Raw genomic sequence first — 20,581 nt, forward strand, 5'->3', positions numbered from 1 at the left:
GGCATGAGCCACCATGCCTGGCCCATTTGAAAAAAAAAATTTTTTTTAAACAACTATAGCTTTAAAAAAAGAGTATTTTTCAAAAAATTAGCTGAGCATGGTGGCGGGTGCCTATAGTCCCAGCTACTAGGGAGGCTACTTGGGAGGCATGAACCCGGGAGGCAGAGGTTGCAGTGAGCCAAAATTGCGTCACTGCACTCCAGCCTGGGTCACAGAGCAAGATTCTGCCTCAAAAAAAAAAAAAAAAAAGTTTTGTTTTGTTTTGTTTTTTTAAACAGGAAAGGATGTTAAAATTCATTAAGCATCCTCCCCCACCCCCCGAGACAGGGTCTTTCTCTGTTGCCCAGGCTGGAGTGCAGTGGTTTGATCTCTGCTCACTGCAGCCTCTGCCTCCCAGGGTCAAGCGATCCTCCCACCTCAGCCTCCAGAGTAGCTGGGACTACATGTGCGAGCCACCATACCCGGCTAAGTTTTGTATTTTTCGTAGAGGTGGGGTTTTGCCGTGTTGTCCAGGCCCCTTTGGACTCCTGAGCTCAAGTGATCAGCCTGCCTCGGCTGCCCAAAGTGCTAGGATTACAGGTGTGAGCCACTGCCCCCAGCCCTTAACTTTTTTCTTCATCTGTTGAGATGATTATATGATTTTTACCTTTTAATCTGTTAGTAAGGTAAATTGCAAGGTTGATTTTCTGATATTAAACCGATTATGTATTCCTTTTTTTTTTTTTTTTTTTTTAAAGAGACGGGGTCTCCCTATGTTGCCCAGGCTGGAGTACAGTAGCTATTCACGGTTGCAATCATAGTACACTGCAGCCTGGAACTCCAGGGTTCCAGAGATCCTCCTGCCTCAGCCTCCCAAGTAGCTGGGACTGCAGGCACATTGCCCCATATCTGCCCACCCAATTTTGCATTTCTGCAATAAAACCAACATGACCGTGATATATTATCCTTCTTACAAATTGCTGGATTCTTTTTGCTGATATTTATTTGGGATTCCTTTTTTTTTTTTTTTTTTGCAATGGAATCTCACTTTGTTGCCCAGGTTGGAGTGCAGTGGCCCCGTGTTGGCTCACTGTAACCTCTGTCCCCTGGGTTCAAGCAATTCTCCTGCCTCAGCCTCCTTAGTAGCTGGGATTACAGGCACCCACCACCATGTCGACTAGTTTTTATATTTTTAGTAGAGACGGGGTTTCACCATGTTGGCCAGGCTGGTCTCAAACTCCTGACCTGAGGTGATCCATCCACCTTGGCCTCCCAAAGTGTTGGGATTACAGGCATGGGCCACCACGCCCGGCTATTTGGGATTTTTATACTTTTGAGAATGGCATGTAATCTTTCCTTGGTGTGTGTGTATGTGTGTCTCAGAGGTGGTTGCAGGAAAGGAAGTTAAATTTTGATCTCCCATGGTGGGAAGACAGACAGTTTAATGGCTAAAACTAGAAAAATAGCTGGGCACAGTGGCTCATGCTTATAATCCCAGCACTTTGGAAGGCAGAGGCAGGTGGATCGAAGCACATCAAATATCTTTCAGGTACCTGTTTACTTATTGCTAAAAGCAAGAACATTGATCCTGTTTATGTGTATTGTATTAATTTAGTGTTGTGGTGGAAATGCTAATATGGTTGAGTCAAAATCTCTAGCTATTCTTTTTTGAAATCTGCAGTGGCATTTTTTTCTTATCCAAGGATGAGATTCTAAAGTTAATACATAAAGTGAAAATCAAATATAGGGAGGCAGGAACTGAGACCAGTTCAGGAAACTTCACGTTATGCCTCTAAGTTCATATTCTTTCCAGGGCAAATACTCACTGAGTGAAATTTAAAGCATTATCAGCTATGCTAATAAGGTGCTATTTTCATGTGTTAAATTTTTTTGCTGAGTACTTATCGTTGACTTTCCCTCAGATAAATATACATATGATGCAAATTCACTATATTTAGATATCTAATTCAGGTGTCCCCAACCCCCTGGGCCGTGGAACGGTATAGGTCCACTGCCTGGATGGCACAGTGGGAGATCAGTAGCAGCCCAGCATTAGCGGCCTGAGCTCCGCCTTCTGTCGGATCAGCAGTGGCATTTGATTCTCACGGGAGCACAAACCCTGTTGTGAACTGCGCACACGAGGGATCTAGGTTGCGGGCTCCTTACGAGAGTCTAATGCCTGATGATCAGAGGTGGAACAGTTTCATCCCGAAACCATCCCCCATCACACCCTCCTGGTCTGTGGAAAAATAGTCTTCCCTAAAACTGATCCCTGGTTTGGAAAAGGTTGGGGACCACTTATCTAATTGATGTCCACTTTGGGAGTGGATTATTAAATAATCTGCAAACTCTTATAAGCTAGGCCAAATTTTTATTTGAACCAGTAAAGTCCCTAGCATCCTGATCAAAGTTAGTCACTGATTTTTATCTTGAGTGTGATAATTTTCCAGGAATATTAATTATAATAGTGGTTTAAATTTATTAAAATGGGCCAGGCGGGGTGGCTCACGCCTGTAATCCCAGCACTTTGGGAGGCCGAGGCGGGTGGATCATGAGGTCAGGAGATCGAGACCACGGTGAAACCCCGTCTCTACTAAAAATACAAAAAAAATTAGCCGGGCGCGGTCGTGGGCGCCTGTAGTCCCAGCTACTCGGGAGGCTGAGGCAGGAGAATGGAGAATGGCGTGAACCCGGGAGGCGGAGCTTGCAGTGAGCCGAGATGGCGCCGCTGCTCTCCAGCCTGGGCGACAGAGCCAGACTCCGTCTCAAAAAAAAAAAAAAATTCCTTAAAAATGCATCTTTTTTTTTTTTTTTTTTTTTTTTTTGAGACAGATTCTCGCTCTGTCGCCCAGGCTGGAGTGCAGTGGTGCAATTTCGGCTCACTGCAAGCTCCGCCTCAGCCTCCCTAGTAGCTGGGACTACAGGTGCACGCCGCCACGCCTGGCTAATTTTTGTGGGTTTTTTTGTTTTGTTTTTGTTTTTTTTTTGAGACGGAGTCTTGCTCTTTCGCCCAGGCCGGACTGTGGTGGCGCTATCTCGGCTCACTGCAAGCTCCGCCTCCCGGGTTCACGCCATTCTGCCTCAGCCTCCTGATTAGCTGGGATTACAGGCGCCCGCCACCGCGCCCAGCTAATTTTTTTTTTTTTCTATTTTTAGTAGAGACGGGGTTTCACCGTGTTAGCCAAGATGGTCTCGATCTCCTGACCCCGTGATCTGCCCGCCTCGGCCTCCCAAAGTGCTGTATTTTTTTTTTTTTCAGTAGAGACGGGGTTTCACCGTGTTAGCCAGGATGGTCTCGATCTCCTGACCTTGTGATCCACCCGCCTCGGCCTCCCACAGTGCTGAGATTACAGGCATGAGCCACCGCGCCCGGCCAAAATGCATCGTTTTATATCTTCATAATGTAGTTTTTTTCCTTCCTTTTTTTTTTTTTTTTTTTTTTGGAGACAGAGTTTTGCTCTTGTCGCCCAGGCTGGAGTGCAATGGAGTGATCTCAGCTCACCGCAACCTCCGCGTCCTGGATTCAAGCGAGTCTCCTACCTCAGCCTCCCAAATAGCTGGGGTTACAGGCATGCGCCACCACGCCCAGCTAATTTTGTATTTTGGTAGAGACGGGGTTTCTCCATGTTGGTCAGGCTGATCTCAAACTTCTGACCTCAGGTGATCTGCCTGCCTCGGCCTCCCAAAGTGCTGGGATTACAGGCATGAGCCACTGCGCCCGGCCTTTCCTTCCCATCTTTGGTCTTCCCTCAGAAAGTAACCCTGAAGTCACCATCTGTACTCTTAATCTTTTCTTAGACTGTAGTTGCTCTTCCTTTTTCCTCATGTTTTCTAATATTGTATATTTGTTACAGAAAAGTTTTCTTCAAAAATGGATGGGGTGTCTTCAGAGGCTAATGAAGAAAAGTAAGTTCATTTAATGCAGCTAAAAATATTATATTCTATCAGAGAAAGATATTTTTCTAATTAGTAAGACCTATCCATAACTTCTGAGATCTTTTTCCATTGTGTTCCAAGAAAAAGTAGTAGTTTTTTTTTTTAAATTATACTTTAAGTTCTAGGGTACATGTGCACAACGTGCAGGTTTGTTACATATGTATACATGTGCCATGTTGGTTTGCTGCACCCATCAACTCATTTACATTAGGTATTTCTCCTAATGCTATCCCTCTCCCAGTCCCTCACCCCCTGGCAGGCCCCGGTGAGTGATGTTCCCCAACCCTGTGTCCAAGTGATCTCATTGTTCAATTTCCACCTACGAGTGAGAACATGCGGTGTTTGGTTTTCTGTCCTTGTGATAGTTTGCTGAGAATGATGGTTTCCAGCTTCATCCATGTCCCTACAAAGTACATGAACTCATCCAAAAAGAAGTAGATGTTACAGACTCATAGCTTTCCTTGCCATTGCCATAACTTTGTATAAACTCATCTACTCTGGGCATGGTGGCTCACACCTGTAGTCCCGGCACTTTGAGAGGCTTAGGCCCAGTAACTTGAGACCAGCCTGAGCAACATAGTAAGACACCCCCGCCCCCCCATCTCTACAAAAAATAAATTTTTTTAAATGGAGGGCTCTTGGCTTTACCAGCCAGGGAGGATGCTTGGCTTTGCCCAGGAAAGAATTCATGGGCTAGCCAGCGGTGTTAAACAGCACTTTTATTGAAGTGGCATAGCGTAAAGCAGCAGCACTGGTATAGCTCCTTGCAGAGCAGGGCTACTCTGTAGGCAGTATGCCCAGAGTAGCAGCTCAGAGGCAGTTCTGCACTCATATTTATACCCATTTTTAATTATATGCAAATTAAGAGGTGTTTTATGCAGACATTTTTAGAATGAGGGTAGTAACTTCCAGCTTGTCAGGTCATTGCCATGGAAAGGGCAGGTAACTGCTGGGTTTTTGCCATAGCAATGGTAAACTGACAAGGCACCCTGGTGGGAGTGTCTTGTGGGGAGGTGCTTTTGCCCCAGACCTGTTTTAGCTAGTCCTCAATTTGGTCCTGTGTCCAAGCCCCACCTGTGGAGTCAAGTTCTGCCTCCTACCTCAAGACCCTGTCTCACATATCATCATCATCATCATCATCATCATCATCATCATCTCATCTAGGGTCAAATCTGAGAGGGACTTTAGATACTATCTCCTATCTCTTCAATTTAAGGATGAGAAAATTGAGAACCAGGAAAATTGAGAACCTATCTCTTCAATTTAAGGATGAGAAAATTGAGAACCAGGAAGAAAAATGATTTGTCTAAAATTGACATCACAACCTGGTGGCTTGTTTGCAGCCTGCAGTCATAAGTTTTTGGCTTATACATAGTATTTTTTGATTGTTTCTTTTTAAGAGACTGTGTCTTGCTTTGTTGCCCAGGCTAGATTTGGACTCCTGGGCTCAAGTGATTCTCCTGCCACAGCCTCCTGAATAGCTGGAAGTATAGACATGGGCCACTGTGGCTGGCTTTGGCCTACACATATTTTTTAGTTTTTGAATTAGTTGCCAAAATTTTAAAATCTCAAAATTTTGTACAATCGGGTTTTCAGCTTCTCTTGAAAAATCAAGCGTGGCAACACTGGGCTCCTATTCTTGTTTGGCAACAACTAACCACAGCAGAGGAATGACTGACCTTTAGGTGAGAGAGGAATTCTCTAGATTATTATAATCTCAACACTACCTATTTTTCTTGCTCCTAAAAAATTATCTGTTTAGCCTCATAGGCATTTGAATTTTCAAAACCTGGTCTAAAAATCGTATAGTAGTAAAACCAAAGCTAGCGTCTCTTGACTTATAGCCCATTTATCTTATTATTATACCTCTATAAATATGGTAAATTATGTTGTACTGATAATTATTCAAGAGATAGTCTCGTAGTACACAATATGTATTTTAAAACACTGAATTCCTAACTGAATTTAAAGTCTTGTATATAAATTTTGCTTGCCAGAGTGCTAAGAGAAAGTGATGACCAGTTTGAAAGCATGTAAGGGGTGCTGTGATGATGCCTTTTGTGAATTCATTTTTTTAAATCACTGTGTATATAATTTTGTTTTCCTTTTTCAGTGACAATATAGAGAGACCTGTTAGAAGACGGCATTCTTCAGTAAGAAAGACTTTCTTGAATTAATAATTGTCAGCTTTTATTTAATGATAACCATATATCACAGTAGTTTTGACTGTGGCTTCACCATCCTACCCTTACTGGCTTCCTGTTGCTCTCTAGATAAAGACTCAAATATTTAACGTGGTTATACAATTCTGTAAATATACCAAAATTCATACTTTATGAATTTTGTAGTAATTTTATGAATTTTATGCTATGTAAGTTATACTTCAATAAAGCTGTTTAAAAGATATGTTTAACCTGTGGTACAAAGCTGTTGCAAGAGACAGAAGACCTACCCAAACTGCTTTTGTGTTTTTGAGATAGAGTCTCGCTCTGTCGCCCAGGCTGGAGCGCAGTGGTGTGATCTCGGCTCACTGTAACCTCCGCCTCCTGGGTTCAAGCGATTCTCGTGTTTCAGCCACCTGAGTAGCTGGAATTACAAGCATGTACCACGTGTGGCTAATTTTTTTATTTTTTAGAAGAGATGAGGTTTTGCCATGTTGCCCAGGCTGGTCTCAAACTCCTGGCCTCAAGTGATCCTCCTGCCTCAGCCTCCCAAAGCGCTGAGATTACAGGCGTGAGCCACTGTGCCCAGCCCAAACTGCTTTAAGCACAAAATGTGTTGGGTTATGATACTAAAAAATCCAACGAAGGGATGGCTTTAGGCACACTTACTGACCAGAGATTCTAACCATGACACCAGTACTAGGATTTCCTTTTGCTTTTTCTACTCTTAGTGCTTCCTCTGGGTAATCTCCAGCAGATAGATTCTTTCCCTATAATTACTGTGATACATCTAGCTCTTTTACTTCCAGGCCCAAGTCCTACGTGAAGAATAGTGTCTTTTTCCTGAAAACAGAAAAGACTCAGAATTGAATCATGTTAGCTTGATTATCCTGATATGGGTCAAGTCCTCATTCCTGAACAAATCATCATTGACAAGAGAATATCAGATTGTTCTAGACAGAGCTATGTGTTTTACCCTAGAGTTGGTGTGGCATTCACTCAGACCATGTGGGATGAGAGCGGGTAGAATAATTGGAGAGGATGGGCAGGTAGAAGGGAATAGATGTCAGATATTTAAATCTGCCACACGGTATAGCATTGAGCAGAATGAATTTGAGGAGTTTCAGAGTTTTTAATGAAAATTTTAGCTTTCTACCTATGATATAACTTGAAATAAACTGATTCTTAATAGATATGCCAGATTTTTTTTGAATAATTCTAATTGTTACCCTAGATATTGAAACCCCCAAGGAGTCCTCTTCAGGACCTCAGAGGTGGGAATGAAAGAGTTCAGGTAAGTCTTTTGTGCAAATACTTTATAGATGACTATTTTCAGTTATATTTTTAAGTCAAGAAGTTTATTAGCTATTTGAAGAGGAAATGTGTAAGCATCCCATGAGTTTCCAAACACTTGAATATACTGGCATTCTTGATTTTTCATTTTTCTTCTTTTTTCTAGGAATGGCATCTCCCTCTCTTACCCAGGTTGGAGTGTAGTGGCACAATCATAAGTCCCTGCAGCCTTGCATTCCTGGGCTCAATCAATCTTCCCGCCTCAGCCTCCTGAGTAGCTGGGACTACGGCACATGCCATCATACTTAGCTATTTATTTATTTATTTAGAAACAGGGTCTGACTGTTGCCCAGACTGGAGTACAATGGTGCGATCATGGCTCACTGCAACCTCCTCCCCCTGGGCTCAAGAGATCCTCCCACCTTAGCCTCCTGAGTAACTAGGCCTACAGGAACATGCCACCATGCCCGGCTAATTTTTTATTTTTTATAGAGACAGGATTTCGCCATGTTGCCCCACGCTGGTCTTGAACTCCTGGGCTCAAGTAATCCACCCACCTTGGTCTTCCAAAGTGCTGGCATTACAGGCGTGAGCCACTGTACCCAGCCCTTAAAAAATTTTTGTTTTTAGTATAGACAGGGTCTTGCTATGTTGGCTGGGCTGGTTTTGAACTTCTGGGCTCAAGTGATCCTCTTGCCTGGGCCTCCCAAAGTGTGGGTATTATAGGCATGAGCCATCGTGCTGGGCCTTTCTTTTTTCATGTCAGATGTATAATGTGCCAACATCGTAACAAAGTTTGAAGAAAGCACATCTCACACATGCGTGTGAAAACCCAATCACACTTATGAACTACGAAAAGATCAGTATTCTTTTTTTTCAGTAAGAAATATATTAGTCTCTGTTAGTCCCAGTGTTTACCATGTCAGTATTGTCATATTAAGCTCAAGGCTACCTGTAGCATCTTCTAGGGCCTTAATCACATCACTGCTTTGATGCAGAGGGGTTACCATTTCTGATTCTTTATTATAATAAGACTTATGGTTAGGTATTCAGAATTAACCCAGTAAAACTCTCTGTGGATTTTGTTTCTGTCTTTTGATTATTATTATTATTTTATGTTTTTACTTGACAGCAAGCTCATCCTTAATGTCTTTTAGTTTTTGTGTATGGTATTTATGTGAGTAGAAATGTTTGCTCTTGTTAAAGAAGGTGGGGAAGGAAGGTAAAAATAGTGTATTCTAATGAAGAGATGCTCAACATCATTGACCATTAGGGAAATGTAAATCAAAACCTAAATGAGATATCACCTCACACCCATTAGGATGGTTAAAGTAAAAGACAATAACAAGTGTTGATGAGGATGCAGAGAAATTGGAACACTTGTGCTTTCTTGGTGGGGGTATAAAATGGTACAGCTGCTATGGAAAACAGTATGGCAATTCCTCAAAAAATTGAAAATAGAATTGCCATATGATCCAACAATTCCACTTCTGGATATATATCCAAAAGAATTGAAAGGAGAGTTTCAAAGAGATATTTGTACACCCATGTTCATAGCGGCATTATTCACATTAGCTAGAAGGTGGAAGCAACTCAAGTGTCCATTGATGGATGAATGGATAAACAAAATGTGGTAATATATACATGCAGTGAAATATCATTCAGCCTTGAAAAAAAGAAGGAAATTCTGACACATACTACAAAATGTGAAGAAGTAATTCAGAATAAGACTTGATCTCTGGCCGGGTGCAGTGGCTCATGCCTGTAATCCTAGCACTTTGGAAAGCTGAGGCGGGAGGATCACTTGAGGTCAGGAGTTTGAGACCAGCCTAGTCAACATGGTGAAACCCCATCTCTACTAAAAATACAAAAAATTAGAGGTTGAGACATGAAAATCACTTGAACCTGAGAGGCAGAGGTTGCAGTGAACTGAGATCGAGTTACTGTACTCCAGCCTGGGCGACAGAACAAAACCGTCTTGGAAAAAAAAAAAAAAAAAAAAAAGACTTGTCTGGGTGCAGGGGCCCATGGCTATAATCCCAGCAGCACTTTGGGAGGCCGAGGTGGGCCGATCACCTGAGGTCGGGAGTTCGAGACCAGCCTGACCAACATGGAGAAACCCCATCCCTACTAAAAATACAGAATTAGTTGGTCGTGGTGACGTATGCCTGTAATCCCAGCTACTCGGGAGGCTGAGGCAGGAGAATCGCTTGAATCCGGGAGGCAGAGGCTGTGGTGAGCCAAGATCACACCGTTGCACTCCAGTCTGGGCAACAAGAGCGAAACTCCATCTCAAAAAAAAAAAAAAAAGGACTTGATCTCTGTCTATAGTACTCTGGAGATGTAATTCACAGTGATTTTATTAAGAATTATACCATATATTCTCTGCCCTTAGGAATCCAATGCTTTGAGAAATAAGAAAAACTCTCGTCGAGTCAGCTTTGCAGATACTATAAAGTAAGTTGAAAGCAGAAATAACTAAAATATTATAGGTACTGGTATTTTGTGTATCAAACCAAATGTATTGGTACTGACTTGAATAATCTGTTTTGATTAAACATTAGTTATTCTTCAAAGGGTTATTCAGTATTATGTTTAAAAGAGAAACAAAGCATTCCCTCTAAAGTCAGGAACAAAACAATGATATCCAACTGTTATTTGACATTGTACTAGGGGCCGGGTGTGCTGGCTCACGCCTGTAATCCCAGCACTTTGGGAGGTTGAAGCCAGAGGATTGCTTGAGGCCAATAGTTCGAGACTAGCCCAAGCAACTTAGCGAGATCCCATCTCTACAAAAAAAAAAAAAAAAAAAAATTAGCTAGGCATGATACCCTGCACCTGTAGTCCCAGATACTTAGGAGGCTGAGGCTGGAGGATTGCTTCAGTTCAGGAGTTCTAGGCTGCAGTGAGCCATGATAGTGTCATTGCACTCCAGCCTGGGCAACAGAGTGAGACCCTGTCTCAAAAAAGAAAAAAGAATAGCTTCTATATAGTGAGTGATACCTAATATTAGCAGAATTAGAATGAACTGGTCGGATTCAAGGCAGATGTCAAATGCTCCTTGAAGCTTATTCTTAACCAGCCCAGTGAAAAGGGATCCCTTCCTATGGAGTCCATGCTACCATACCTGAACTGTTAATAACAAAAGCCAGTGAAATAATGTTTATAATCACTGTTCTAGCTCTATTTATAGTGGAAGCTCCTTGAGTCAAGGATCATGTGTTTGTATCCCAGGCCCTAGTATGATACCAGGTATATAGTGAGTGTTTAATAAATACTTGTTGAATTAAATGAATATTTTAGGTGATTGAGAGGGATATAATAATTACTAAGTCAGAGCTCATTTAAAAATTATAACCTCTGCAGTAACAAATGGCTCAGAATCTTAGTTAAAAATAAATAAATAAATAAATAAACTATAACAGCATTGTCTCTACTAGAAATAAAAAATATTAGTCAGGCTTGTTGGTGAGGCTACTCGGGAGGCTGAAGTGGGATGATCACTTTAACCTGGGAGATTGAGGCTACAGTGAGCTGTGATCGCACCACTGCAATCTAGACTGGGCAACAAAGCGAGACCCTGTTTAAAATCAAAAATAAAAACAAAACTATAGCAGATTTTATTGTGGTAAACTACTTTTGGCATTTGAAATACTAGGAGTATATGGCATAGCAAAGAGGAAGCTAAAATCAAAGTATTATCTTGACCTATCTCAACACAGACTATAAATCAACACCAAAAGATAATGATTACAAATTGCAGGTTTTCAATAATCTTTATTTTCTCTTCTAGGGTATTCCAGACGGAGTCTCATATGAAAATAGTGAGAAAGTCAGAAATGGAAGGTAAGTATGTTACTATAATTCCTGCTAAATCTGCTTTTTAAAAAATTTTACTGTAGCTATCTAACCAGACAACTAATATAACTTATTGTCTATCTTATTGCTTAAAAAATATATGATGGGCCATGCATAGTGGTTCACACCTGTGATCCCGACACTTTGGCAGTCTGAGGTGGGAGGATCGCTTGAGCCCAGGAGTTCAAGACCAACCTGGATAGCATAGTGAGATTCTGTCTCTACAAAAAATAAAAAATTAGCCAGGTGTGGGGGTGCATTCCTGTAGCCCCAGCTACTCAGGAGGCTGAGGTGAGAGGATCACTTGAGTCCAGAAGATTGAGACTGCAGTGATTGCACCAGTGCACTCCAGCCTGGGCAACAGAGCAAGACTCTGTCTCAAAAACAAAAAAAGTATACCTTGAGTCTTGGGAGTAGAGAGTAGAGTGGATAGTAAGTAAATTTATTTATTTATTTATTTTGAGACGGATTTTCACTGTTGTTCCCCAGGCTGCAGTGCAATGGTGCCATCTCAGCTGCAACTTCTGCCTCCTGGGTTTAAGCGATTCTCCTGCCTCAGCCTCCCAGGTAGCCGGGATTACAGGCATGCACCACCACACCCAGCTAATTTTTGTATTTTTAGTAGAGACAGGGTTTCACCATATTGGCCAGGCTGGTCTCGAACCCCTGGCCTCAAGTGATCCGCCTGCCTTGGCCTCAAAATGCTAGGATTACAGGCGTGAGCCACCACGTCCAGCAGTTAATAATTTTTTTAAATGTTGTTAATGTCCTTAAGTAATTTTTTAAAAATTTTATTGTATTTTTTTTTTTTTTGAGACAGAGTCTTGCTTGCCCTGTCGCCCAGGCTAGAGTGCAGTGGTGCGATCTCGGCTAACTGCAATCTCTGCCTCCCAGGTTCAAGCAATTCTCCTACCTCAGCCTCCTGAGTAGCTGGGATTACATGTGCACGCCACCACACCTGGCTAATTTTTGTATTTTTAGTAGAGACAGGGTTTCACCGTGTTGGTCAGGTTGATCTCGAACTCCTGACCTCGTGGTCCACCCGTCTCGGCCTCCCAAAGTTCTGGGATTACAGGCATGAGCCACCGGGCCCAGCTGTCCTTAAGTAATTTTTCTAATGCTTTATCAGTGTATCCTTGGACAAATTTAATTTTAATTTTATTTTTAGAAACAGAAACAGGAGAAAATCTTCTTTTGATACAGTAAGTAATATTCAAATTATATTTAAAAAGTTATAAATTAATATTATTTTTATTTCTTATTTTTGTGTTCCTTTTGTGGAATACTTAGGATTAATTCAGAAAACCAGTTATTTGCAGAATTTAGTATACTGCTATATCTGATTAATATGGCCATTGTACTGTTTATAGTTTTAATAGTGATGAAACAATATAATATATAAACCTTTATATTTATTAACTAATATAAAACAATAGATAGCAAGTCTTTAGTTTTTTTATTAAATTAATCTTTCTTATAATATTATTACATAGAAAGGCAAATACCAGTAGCTCTTCAACAAATGAAAAGATGGTTATCTTTATTCATCATAAGAGAAGTACAGATTTGATTATATTGAGATATTTTTGGCTGGACGTGGTGGCTCATGCCTGTAATCCGAGCACTTTGGGAGGCCGAGGCTGGTGGATCACCTGAGGTCAGGAGTTCGAGACCAGCCTGGCCAACATGATGAAACCCCATCTCTACTAAAAAAATACAAAAAATTGGCCGGGCACAGTGGCTTACGCCTGTAAACCAAGCACTTAGGGAGGCTGAGGCGGGTAGATCACGAGGTCAGGAGATCGAGACCATCCTGGCCAACGTGGTGAAACCCCATCTCTACTAAGAATACAAAAATTAGCCAGGTGTTGTGGTGGGCGCCTGTAGTCCCAGCTACTCAGGAGGTTGAGGTAGGAGAATCACTTGAATCTGGGAGGTAGAGGTTGCAGTGAGCCGAGATCATGCCACTGCACTCCAGCCTGGGCGACAGAGCGAGACTCCGTCTCAAAAAAACAAAAAAAACCCCAAAAAATTAGCCAGGTATGGTGGCACTGTGCCTGTAATCCCAGCTACTCAGGAGGCCAAGGCACGAGAATCGCTTGAACCCGGGAGGCGGAGGTTGCAGTGAGCTGAGATCATGCCCCTGCACTCCAACCTGGGCAGCAGAGCGAGACTCTGTCTCCAAAAAAGAGGTTTTTTTGCTGTTGTTGTTGTTTGTTTGTTGTTTAGACGGCATCTTCCTCTGTCGCCAGGCTGGAGTGCAATGGTACGATCTTGGCTCTCTGCAACCTCCGCCTCCTGGGTTCAAGTGATTCTCCTGCTTCAGCCTCCCGAGTAGCTGGGACTACAGGCGCCTGCCACCACGCCTGGCTAATTTTGTTGTATTTTTAGTAGACACGGGGTTTCACCATGTTGGCCAGAATTGTCTTGGTCTCTTGACCTCGTGATCCGCCCACTTTGGCCTCCTAAAGTGCTGGGATTACAGGCGTGAGCCACTGTGCCTGGCCTAAAAAAGAGATATTTTTATCCAGTCAGTTAAGGAAATAGGTAAAAAGTCACTCCGTGCTAGTGGGAGTATAATTTGTAGAAGGCAACTTGGTAATATCGTTCAGAATTTTAAATGCACATGCCCTTTGACTTCAGTTTTATGTCTGGAAATTATCTCACCAATATACGTGTAAATGTTTGAAATGATGAATAGATAAGGTTATTCACAGCAGCGTTTATTATAATAGTAAACGTTGTGAAAGGTCCTGAAGGTCCATCAGTAAGGGCCTGGTTAAATAAATTGTACATTTTCCATATAATTGACTATGCAGCCGGAAAAAAAATTTTATGCTAAATAGAGAAATCTCTAAGCTATATTACTTAAGATAAAAAGCAAGACGCAAAACAAAGTATATCATGTATTACCACTTGGGTAAAACAGGGAAGAAGAAAAGCGTGTGTGTGTGTGTGTATCTTCTCGTGTGTGTACATGTATAATGTATGTATATGTAGTGACTTATGCATATATATGCATAATATCTCTGGAAGAAACTAGTAAGATTGCCTACAGAGAAAAGAACCTTGCTATAGGTTACATGTTGGCTTTGTGGTTTATTAATTTAAAACCATATGAAAGTATTACCTATTACATTCTTAAAATTGTTGAAACGAAGAAATGGAAGTAATAGTAGTCATGGTTTAGAAAAGGTACAGAATCAACTCCAACAGAACTTAAAGGAAAAATAATTTTTTAAATAAAAAGGTACAGAAGTATATACATTGAAAAGTAAAAATTATTCCCTCTTTCCCTCTTCTTTCTTTTTTGTGAGACGGGGTTTCGCTCTTGTTGGCCAGACTGGAGTATAATGGCATGATCTTGGCTCACTGCAACCTCAGCCTCCTGGGTTCAAGCAATTCTCCTGCCTCAGCCTCCTGAGTAGCTAGGACTACAGGTGTGCACCACTACACCTGGCTAATTTATTTTATTTTTATTATTTTATTTTATTTTATTTTATTTTGAGATAGAGTCTCGCTCCGTCACCCAGGCTGGAGTGCAGTGGCGCCATCTCGGCCCACTGCAAGCTCCGCCTCCTGGTTTCACGCCATTCTCCTGCCTCAGCCTCCCTAGTAGCTGGGACTACAGGCGCCTGCCACCACGCCTGGCTCATTTTTTTGTATTTTTAGTAGAGACAGGGTTTCACTGTGTTAGCCAGGATGGTCTCAATTTCCTGACCTTGTGATCCACCCGCCTCGGCCTCCCAAAGTGCTGGGATTACAGGCGTGAGCCACCACGCCTGGCCCCCCTTTTTTTTTTTTTTGAGATGGAGTCTTGCTCTGTTGTGCAGGCTGGAGTGCAGTGGCCTAATCTTGGCTCACTGCAACCTCCGCCTCATGGGTTCAAGCAATTCTCCTGCCTCAGCCTCCCGAGTACCTGGGACTACAGGTGCACACCACCACGCCCAGCCAATTTTTGTATTTTTAGTAGAGATGGGGTTTCACCACGTTGGCCAGGCTGGTCTCGAACTCCTGACCTCAGTTTATCTGCCTGCCTTGGCTTCCCAAAGTGCTGGGATTTTAGGCATGAGCCACCACACCCGGCCTAATTTTGTATTTTTAGTAGAAGCGGTGTTTCACCATGTCGGCCAAGCTAGTCTCAAACTCCTGACCTCGGGTGATCTGCCTGCCTTGGCCTCCCAAAGTGATGGGATTACAGACGTGAGCCACCACACCCAGCCTATTCCCTCTTCTTCAGGTGACTCACTCCTTACAGATAACCACTGTTGACAATTTTTGGTGTACTTGCAGAAATTTTTTTTGTATGTCCAAGTGCATGTTTAGCTTTTATTTTTTTAAACAAGACAAAAATGGGATTGCCTAGTAATATGTCTTATAGCACTTTCTATGTTATTACATAAAGATTTACCTCAGTCTGTTACAATCTCTTGTATGGCTGCACCAACATTTAGTGAACTCCCTATTGATGGACACTTGAGTGGTTTCTTTCATGTACTTTTTGTTTTAAGGCTCAAGTTTTAGAAAAGGAATTGCTTTATAGGTCATTTTTTGAAAAAATAAGCAAGCAGTATATATTAAGCATATTTTTCTAGTTTATTTTTTTGAGATGGGGTCTCACTCTGTCACCCAGGCTGGAGTGCAGTGACATGATTATAGTTCATTGCAGCCCTGGACTTCAGGTCTCAAGTGATCCTCCCACTTCACGCTCCCAAAGTGTTGGGATTACAGATGTGAGCCACCACGGCTGGCTGATAATATTCTTGAAATTAGCAAACCATTAAGACCAATCTGAAAAGTATCCTTTAGTTGCCTTGTAATTCCTTCAGCCAGTATTAGATGAGTCTTTTTTTAAAAAGATGTCTTTATAATTTTCTGCATTAGATGAGTCTTTTTTAAAAAGATGTCTTTATAATTTTCTGCTAGTCATTCTATGAAAGTCTTTCACCTTCTGTACTCTTTCAGCTGTTATTGAAAGATTCTTGGTAATTGTTTGGGGTATAGATTATAAAAATACTTTTTAATTTTTAGGAATAAGAAATTAGAAGATAATTACTGTGAAATTACTGGTGAGTATGACTAGAATACTTTTCTTATAGTAAGATAGTCTATTCATCTAGGTTTCTTGATCACTATTATGTACAAGAAACCATGAACCACGAAAAAAAAGCAAACAGAGGCCAGGCACGGTGCTCACGCCTGTAATCCCAGTATTTTGGCAGGCTGAGGCAGGCAGATCACGAGGTCGGGAGATCGAGACCATCCTGGCCAACATGGTGAAACCCAGTCTCTACTAAAATACAAAAAAGTAGCTGGGCGTGGTGGTGCGCTCCTGTAGTCCCAGCTACTCGGGGCTGAGGCAGGGGAATCGCTTGAACCCAGGAGGCGGAGATTGCAGTGAGCTGAGATCGCGCCACTGCACTCCAGCAATGGCTCCAAACAGAGCTTTGTTCTTTTTTTTTTTTTTTCTTTTTGAGATGGAGTTTTGCTCTTATTGCCCAGGCTAGTGCAGTGGCACAATCTCAGCTCACTGCAACCTCCGCCTTCTGGTTTCAAGCAATTCTCCTGCCTCAGCCTCCCAAGTTGCTGGGATTACAGGCGCCCGCCACCACGCCCAGCTAATTTTTTTGTATTTTTAGTAGAGACAGGGTTTTACCATGTTGGTCAGGCTGGTCTCGAACTGCTACCCTCGTGATCTAACCGCCTTGGCCTCCCAAAGTGCTGGGATTACAGGTGTGAGCCACCGCGCCTGGCCCAGGGCTTTGTTCTTTACACATTGTCTTCAATTTAAAATTTCACAGGCTCACTATTACTTCTTTTTTTTTTTTTTTGAGATGAATTTTCATTCTTGTTGTCCAGGCTGGGGTGCAGTGGTGCAATCTGGGCTCACTGCAGCCTCTACCTCCCGGGTTCAAGCAATTCTCTTGCCTCAGCCTCCTGAGTAGCTGGGATTACAGGTGCCCACCACTACACCCAGCTAATTTTTTTTGTATTTTTAGTAGAGACAGGGTTTCTCCATGTTGGCCAGGCTGCTCTCAAACTCCTGACCTCAGGTGATCCACCCGCCTCGGCCTCCCAAAGTGCTGGGATTATAGGTATGAGCCACTGCACCCAGCCAACTCACTGTTACTTCTTTCAAACCTGCTGTTTCTCCTGTTTTCTCTGTCTTGGACTCCCACTCATTCAGTCATTCACTGAAGTCAGGAATCAAGAAGTCATTTTCAATTCTTCCTTTATGTCTAATGGCCATTTGGCCTACTTTCTGTTTTGTCTCCTAAATGTCTTGAAAATCGTTACCTATTCTGTATTCCTTCTGTGACTGCTTTAATTCAAGTTGTTATTATTTTTTCTTGGGCTACTGTATTTCATTTCTTATCCTTCCAATCCATTCTCCATATTTCTAAATTTGATTATGTTACCTCCCAGCTTAAAATGGTTCAATGACACTGTTTTGCTTACAGAATAAAGCCCATACTCCTTAGCAATGAGTTAGAATGTCCTTTATCACTTGGCCTGTTTTCTTCTCCAAACTTATCTCCTACCCATTATATAGGTATCCCATGCTCTAGCCCATGATGAATTATTTGCAGTTCACTATATAAACTCTTTTTCTGCCTATATGCATTTATTTTTCATTTTATTTCATTTTATTTTTTTGAGACGGAGTCTCACTCTGTCACCCAGGCTGAAGTGAGGTGGTGCGATCTTGGCTCACTGCAACCTCCGCCTCCCAGGTTCAAGCGATTTTCCTGCCTCAGCCTCCCGAGTAGCTGGGATTACAGGCACGTGCCACCAGGCCGAGCTGATTTTTGTATTTTTAGTAGAGATGGGGTTTCACCATGTTGGCCAGGCTGGTCTCAAACTCCTGACCTCAGATGATCCACCGCCTTGGCCTCCAGAGTGCTTGGATTACAGGCGTGAGCCTCCGCACTCAGCCCCTATATGCATTTATAAATGCTATTTTCTCTATCTAAAGTGATCTTTCTACTCCAGTTTGCCTATCAGGCTTCTCATTTTTCACTTCACTTAGTTTAACTTCAGTGCTATCCAAAGTGTCCAGTCCACAAACTAACTGCTCAGTCCATGACAGAAAAGGAATTTGTACCATAATGTGCCTTAACTGTGGCATTAAGCCACAGTTTAGTTTAGTTTACACTTTTTTCCTAGCAATTATTATTATATGATTTATGTTTGCCGCCAGCTCCTTATCTCGTTATGAATAGGTAACAAGCAGTTCACAGTCTGGCACCATACTTCAAGTAGCACTGGCTTAAATGGAACCCTCTCTGGCAAAACTAAGGAGTTAGTCAGATGTTCTGTGCTCCCATAACACCTCTTTTATTTTTCAGTATATTTTAGAATTTATCACATTGTACTTTAAGTATTTCTGGCTGTCTTATTAAAGAGGCCAAACTTTTTTTGCAGGCGGTGGGAGATACTCCTCCTTGAGGAGCACAGCTACCCCATAGGCAGTGTGCTCAGAATAGCCTGAACTACCATCTCTGAGAGTCCAGAAATTCAGAAATTTTGTCTTGTTCTTCTTTATACCTTAGTAGACATTTGAGGTGTGTTCGTTTGTTTGTTTTGTTTTTTCATGTAATAGGTTCTGAACCAACATTTGTTGAAAAAATGAATGGAAGCCTGAAATATAAATAAGGCTTTTAGTAAAAAAAAAAAAAAAAAAAAAAAAAAAAAAAAAAAAAAAGCTTATAATTATTTCATTATATGTACTCAAGCTCGTCATACATTCTTTAATGTGTTCTAAAGATTTGCCTTTAAACTTTAAATGTAAGTATTTTTAAATGTATTTCCTGTTTTAATATAGCCTTTTGAATCCCTTCCTTATTTACAAAGTCTGATTTGTAGTTCTAAAATAAGTCTTGAGTCTAATCCTTTATTTCCATTTTCATTGCTCTGTTGCCCTAACATGACCTCTTGCGTTAATCTGAACTATTGTAGTAACTTCCTTATTGGTTTATCTTCTCTTGAATCAACTTCTCCTTATTACTTTTTACTATTTTTCTAAAATGCATTATATTTTATAATGGGATTATTTTTATAAAGCACATGTGTCTTATCATGGGAATATCTAGATTCCTTAACATAGAATAAAAGACCCTTCAGAATCCTACCCTAACCTTTCAGTCTCATCATTTGATACTCTTCTCCATGGGACTTCTACTATCCAGGAAATAAAAATAGAGAAGTGAATAATAATAATAATAATAAGTAGTAGTCCAAACTTTCCATCTTTAAAATCACCACCACATTATAAAAATATTTCAGCCACACAGAGGATACAATAATTATTGGTCTCTCTGTCACTAACATAGGATAATTAAGTCTTATGAAATTTTATATGTTCCCAACACAAAAGATAAATGTTTGAGGTGGTGGATATTCCAGTTACCCTGATTTGATCATTACACAATGTATACAAGTATCAAAATATCACATGTAACACAAAAATATGTACAACAATGATGTATCAATTTTTAAAAAATTAAAAAAATTTAATACGTAAGTTCTTAAGGGCTTAGTTACTGGTAAATTCTAGTAAATACTTGTAACTGATGAAGAACCTAAGAAAAGGAAAATCAGGCTCAGTGTTATATTTTCTGACTACAGTTTTTTCTTTTTTCTAAATAGGGATGAACACATTGCTTTCTGCTCCCATTCATACCCAGATGCAACAGAAGGAGGTATGAGTTCATGCAAATACCTTCATATTGTAATGTCATTTGATTGTTAAAACAGAAAACACAATTCAATGATAATGGCATAGTTTAGGGATGACTTAAAAAAATGAATCAGCATAAACTGGAAAGGCTTCCTACCTTTCCAGTTAACTTAAGGATAGTTAAGTCACAGCCAGTTTAAGTAATGGGAGATACAGTATACCAGTACCTCTCAAAGTTTAAAGAGCACATGAGTCTTTATTTCTATTTCCTTAGTGATACTAGTACACAAGTCCATAGGCCATACTTTCAGTAGCAAAGAGTTAATCTGTGTCCTCACTGAGAAAACTGTTGTAGCACACAGTGTAATATATATATATATATATATATTTTAGGCTATCTCCTACAAGAAGGATTTTTTTTGGTTGTTGTTAGACACAGTCTTACACTGTTGCCCAGGCTGGAGTGCAGTGGCACAATCTTGGCTCATTGCAGCCTCAATCTTCTGGGCTGAAGCGATCCTCCCACCTCAGCCTCCTGAGTGGCTGGGACTACAGGTGCATGCCACCATGCCTAGCTAATTTTGTTCATTTTTTTGTAGAGACAAGGTCTCACTCTGTTGCCCAGGCTGGTCTTGAACTCCTGGGCTCAAGGGATCTTTCTGCCTTGGCTTCT

General features: G+C 41.3%; 1 protein-coding gene, 1 non-coding gene and 1 pseudogene across 3 annotated transcripts in view, besides 1 other annotated feature; 1 reads left to right on the top strand and 2 right to left on the bottom strand.

Moving 5' to 3' along the window:
- KNL1 (kinetochore scaffold 1) overlaps nt 1–20,581 on the top strand; it is a 70,094-nt gene that overhangs the window by 4,833 nt on the left and 44,680 nt on the right. Inside the window, exons 2-10 of one of the 2 annotated variants that reach the window (NM_170589.5) lie at nt 3,834–3,885; nt 6,029–6,068; nt 7,312–7,371; nt 9,766–9,827; nt 11,164–11,216; nt 11,718–11,795; nt 12,397–12,430; nt 16,260–16,297; nt 19,878–19,930. In NM_170589.5, coding sequence (NP_733468.3) covers nt 3,851–3,885; nt 6,029–6,068; nt 7,312–7,371; nt 9,766–9,827; nt 11,164–11,216; nt 11,718–11,795; nt 12,397–12,430; nt 16,260–16,297; nt 19,878–19,930 — 453 coding nt within the window. In that variant the 5' untranslated portion in view covers nt 3,834–3,850. The remainder of the gene's footprint in view (nt 1–3,833; nt 3,886–6,028; nt 6,069–7,311; nt 7,372–9,765; nt 9,828–11,163; nt 11,217–11,717; nt 11,796–12,396; nt 12,431–16,259; nt 16,298–19,877; nt 19,931–20,581) is intronic. The other variant, NM_144508.5, reaches the window with a different exon arrangement.
- LOC124903601 (small nucleolar RNA U13) lies at nt 8,131–8,231 on the bottom strand. The gene has a single exon (XR_007064828.1). It is a non-coding gene; the product is annotated as a small nucleolar RNA U13 (small nucleolar RNA).
- Nucleotides 12,099–12,310: a silencer, noted in NCBI's record as "fragment chr15:40903378-40903589 (GRCh37/hg19 assembly coordinates)". NCBI's record gives its function as "represses an EF-1alpha promoter that drives an FKBP-Casp9 reporter gene in an ReSE screen in K562 erythroleukemia cells {active_cell/tissue: K562}" and the evidence as "EXISTENCE:reporter gene assay evidence [ECO:0000049][PMID:32094911]".
- Nucleotides 16,584–16,847, bottom strand: RN7SL376P (RNA, 7SL, cytoplasmic 376, pseudogene; annotated as a pseudogene).

This window comes from Homo sapiens, chromosome 15, assembly GCF_000001405.40.
Source record: "Homo sapiens chromosome 15, GRCh38.p14 Primary Assembly".
NCBI lineage: Eukaryota > Metazoa > Chordata > Mammalia > Primates > Hominidae > Homo > Homo sapiens.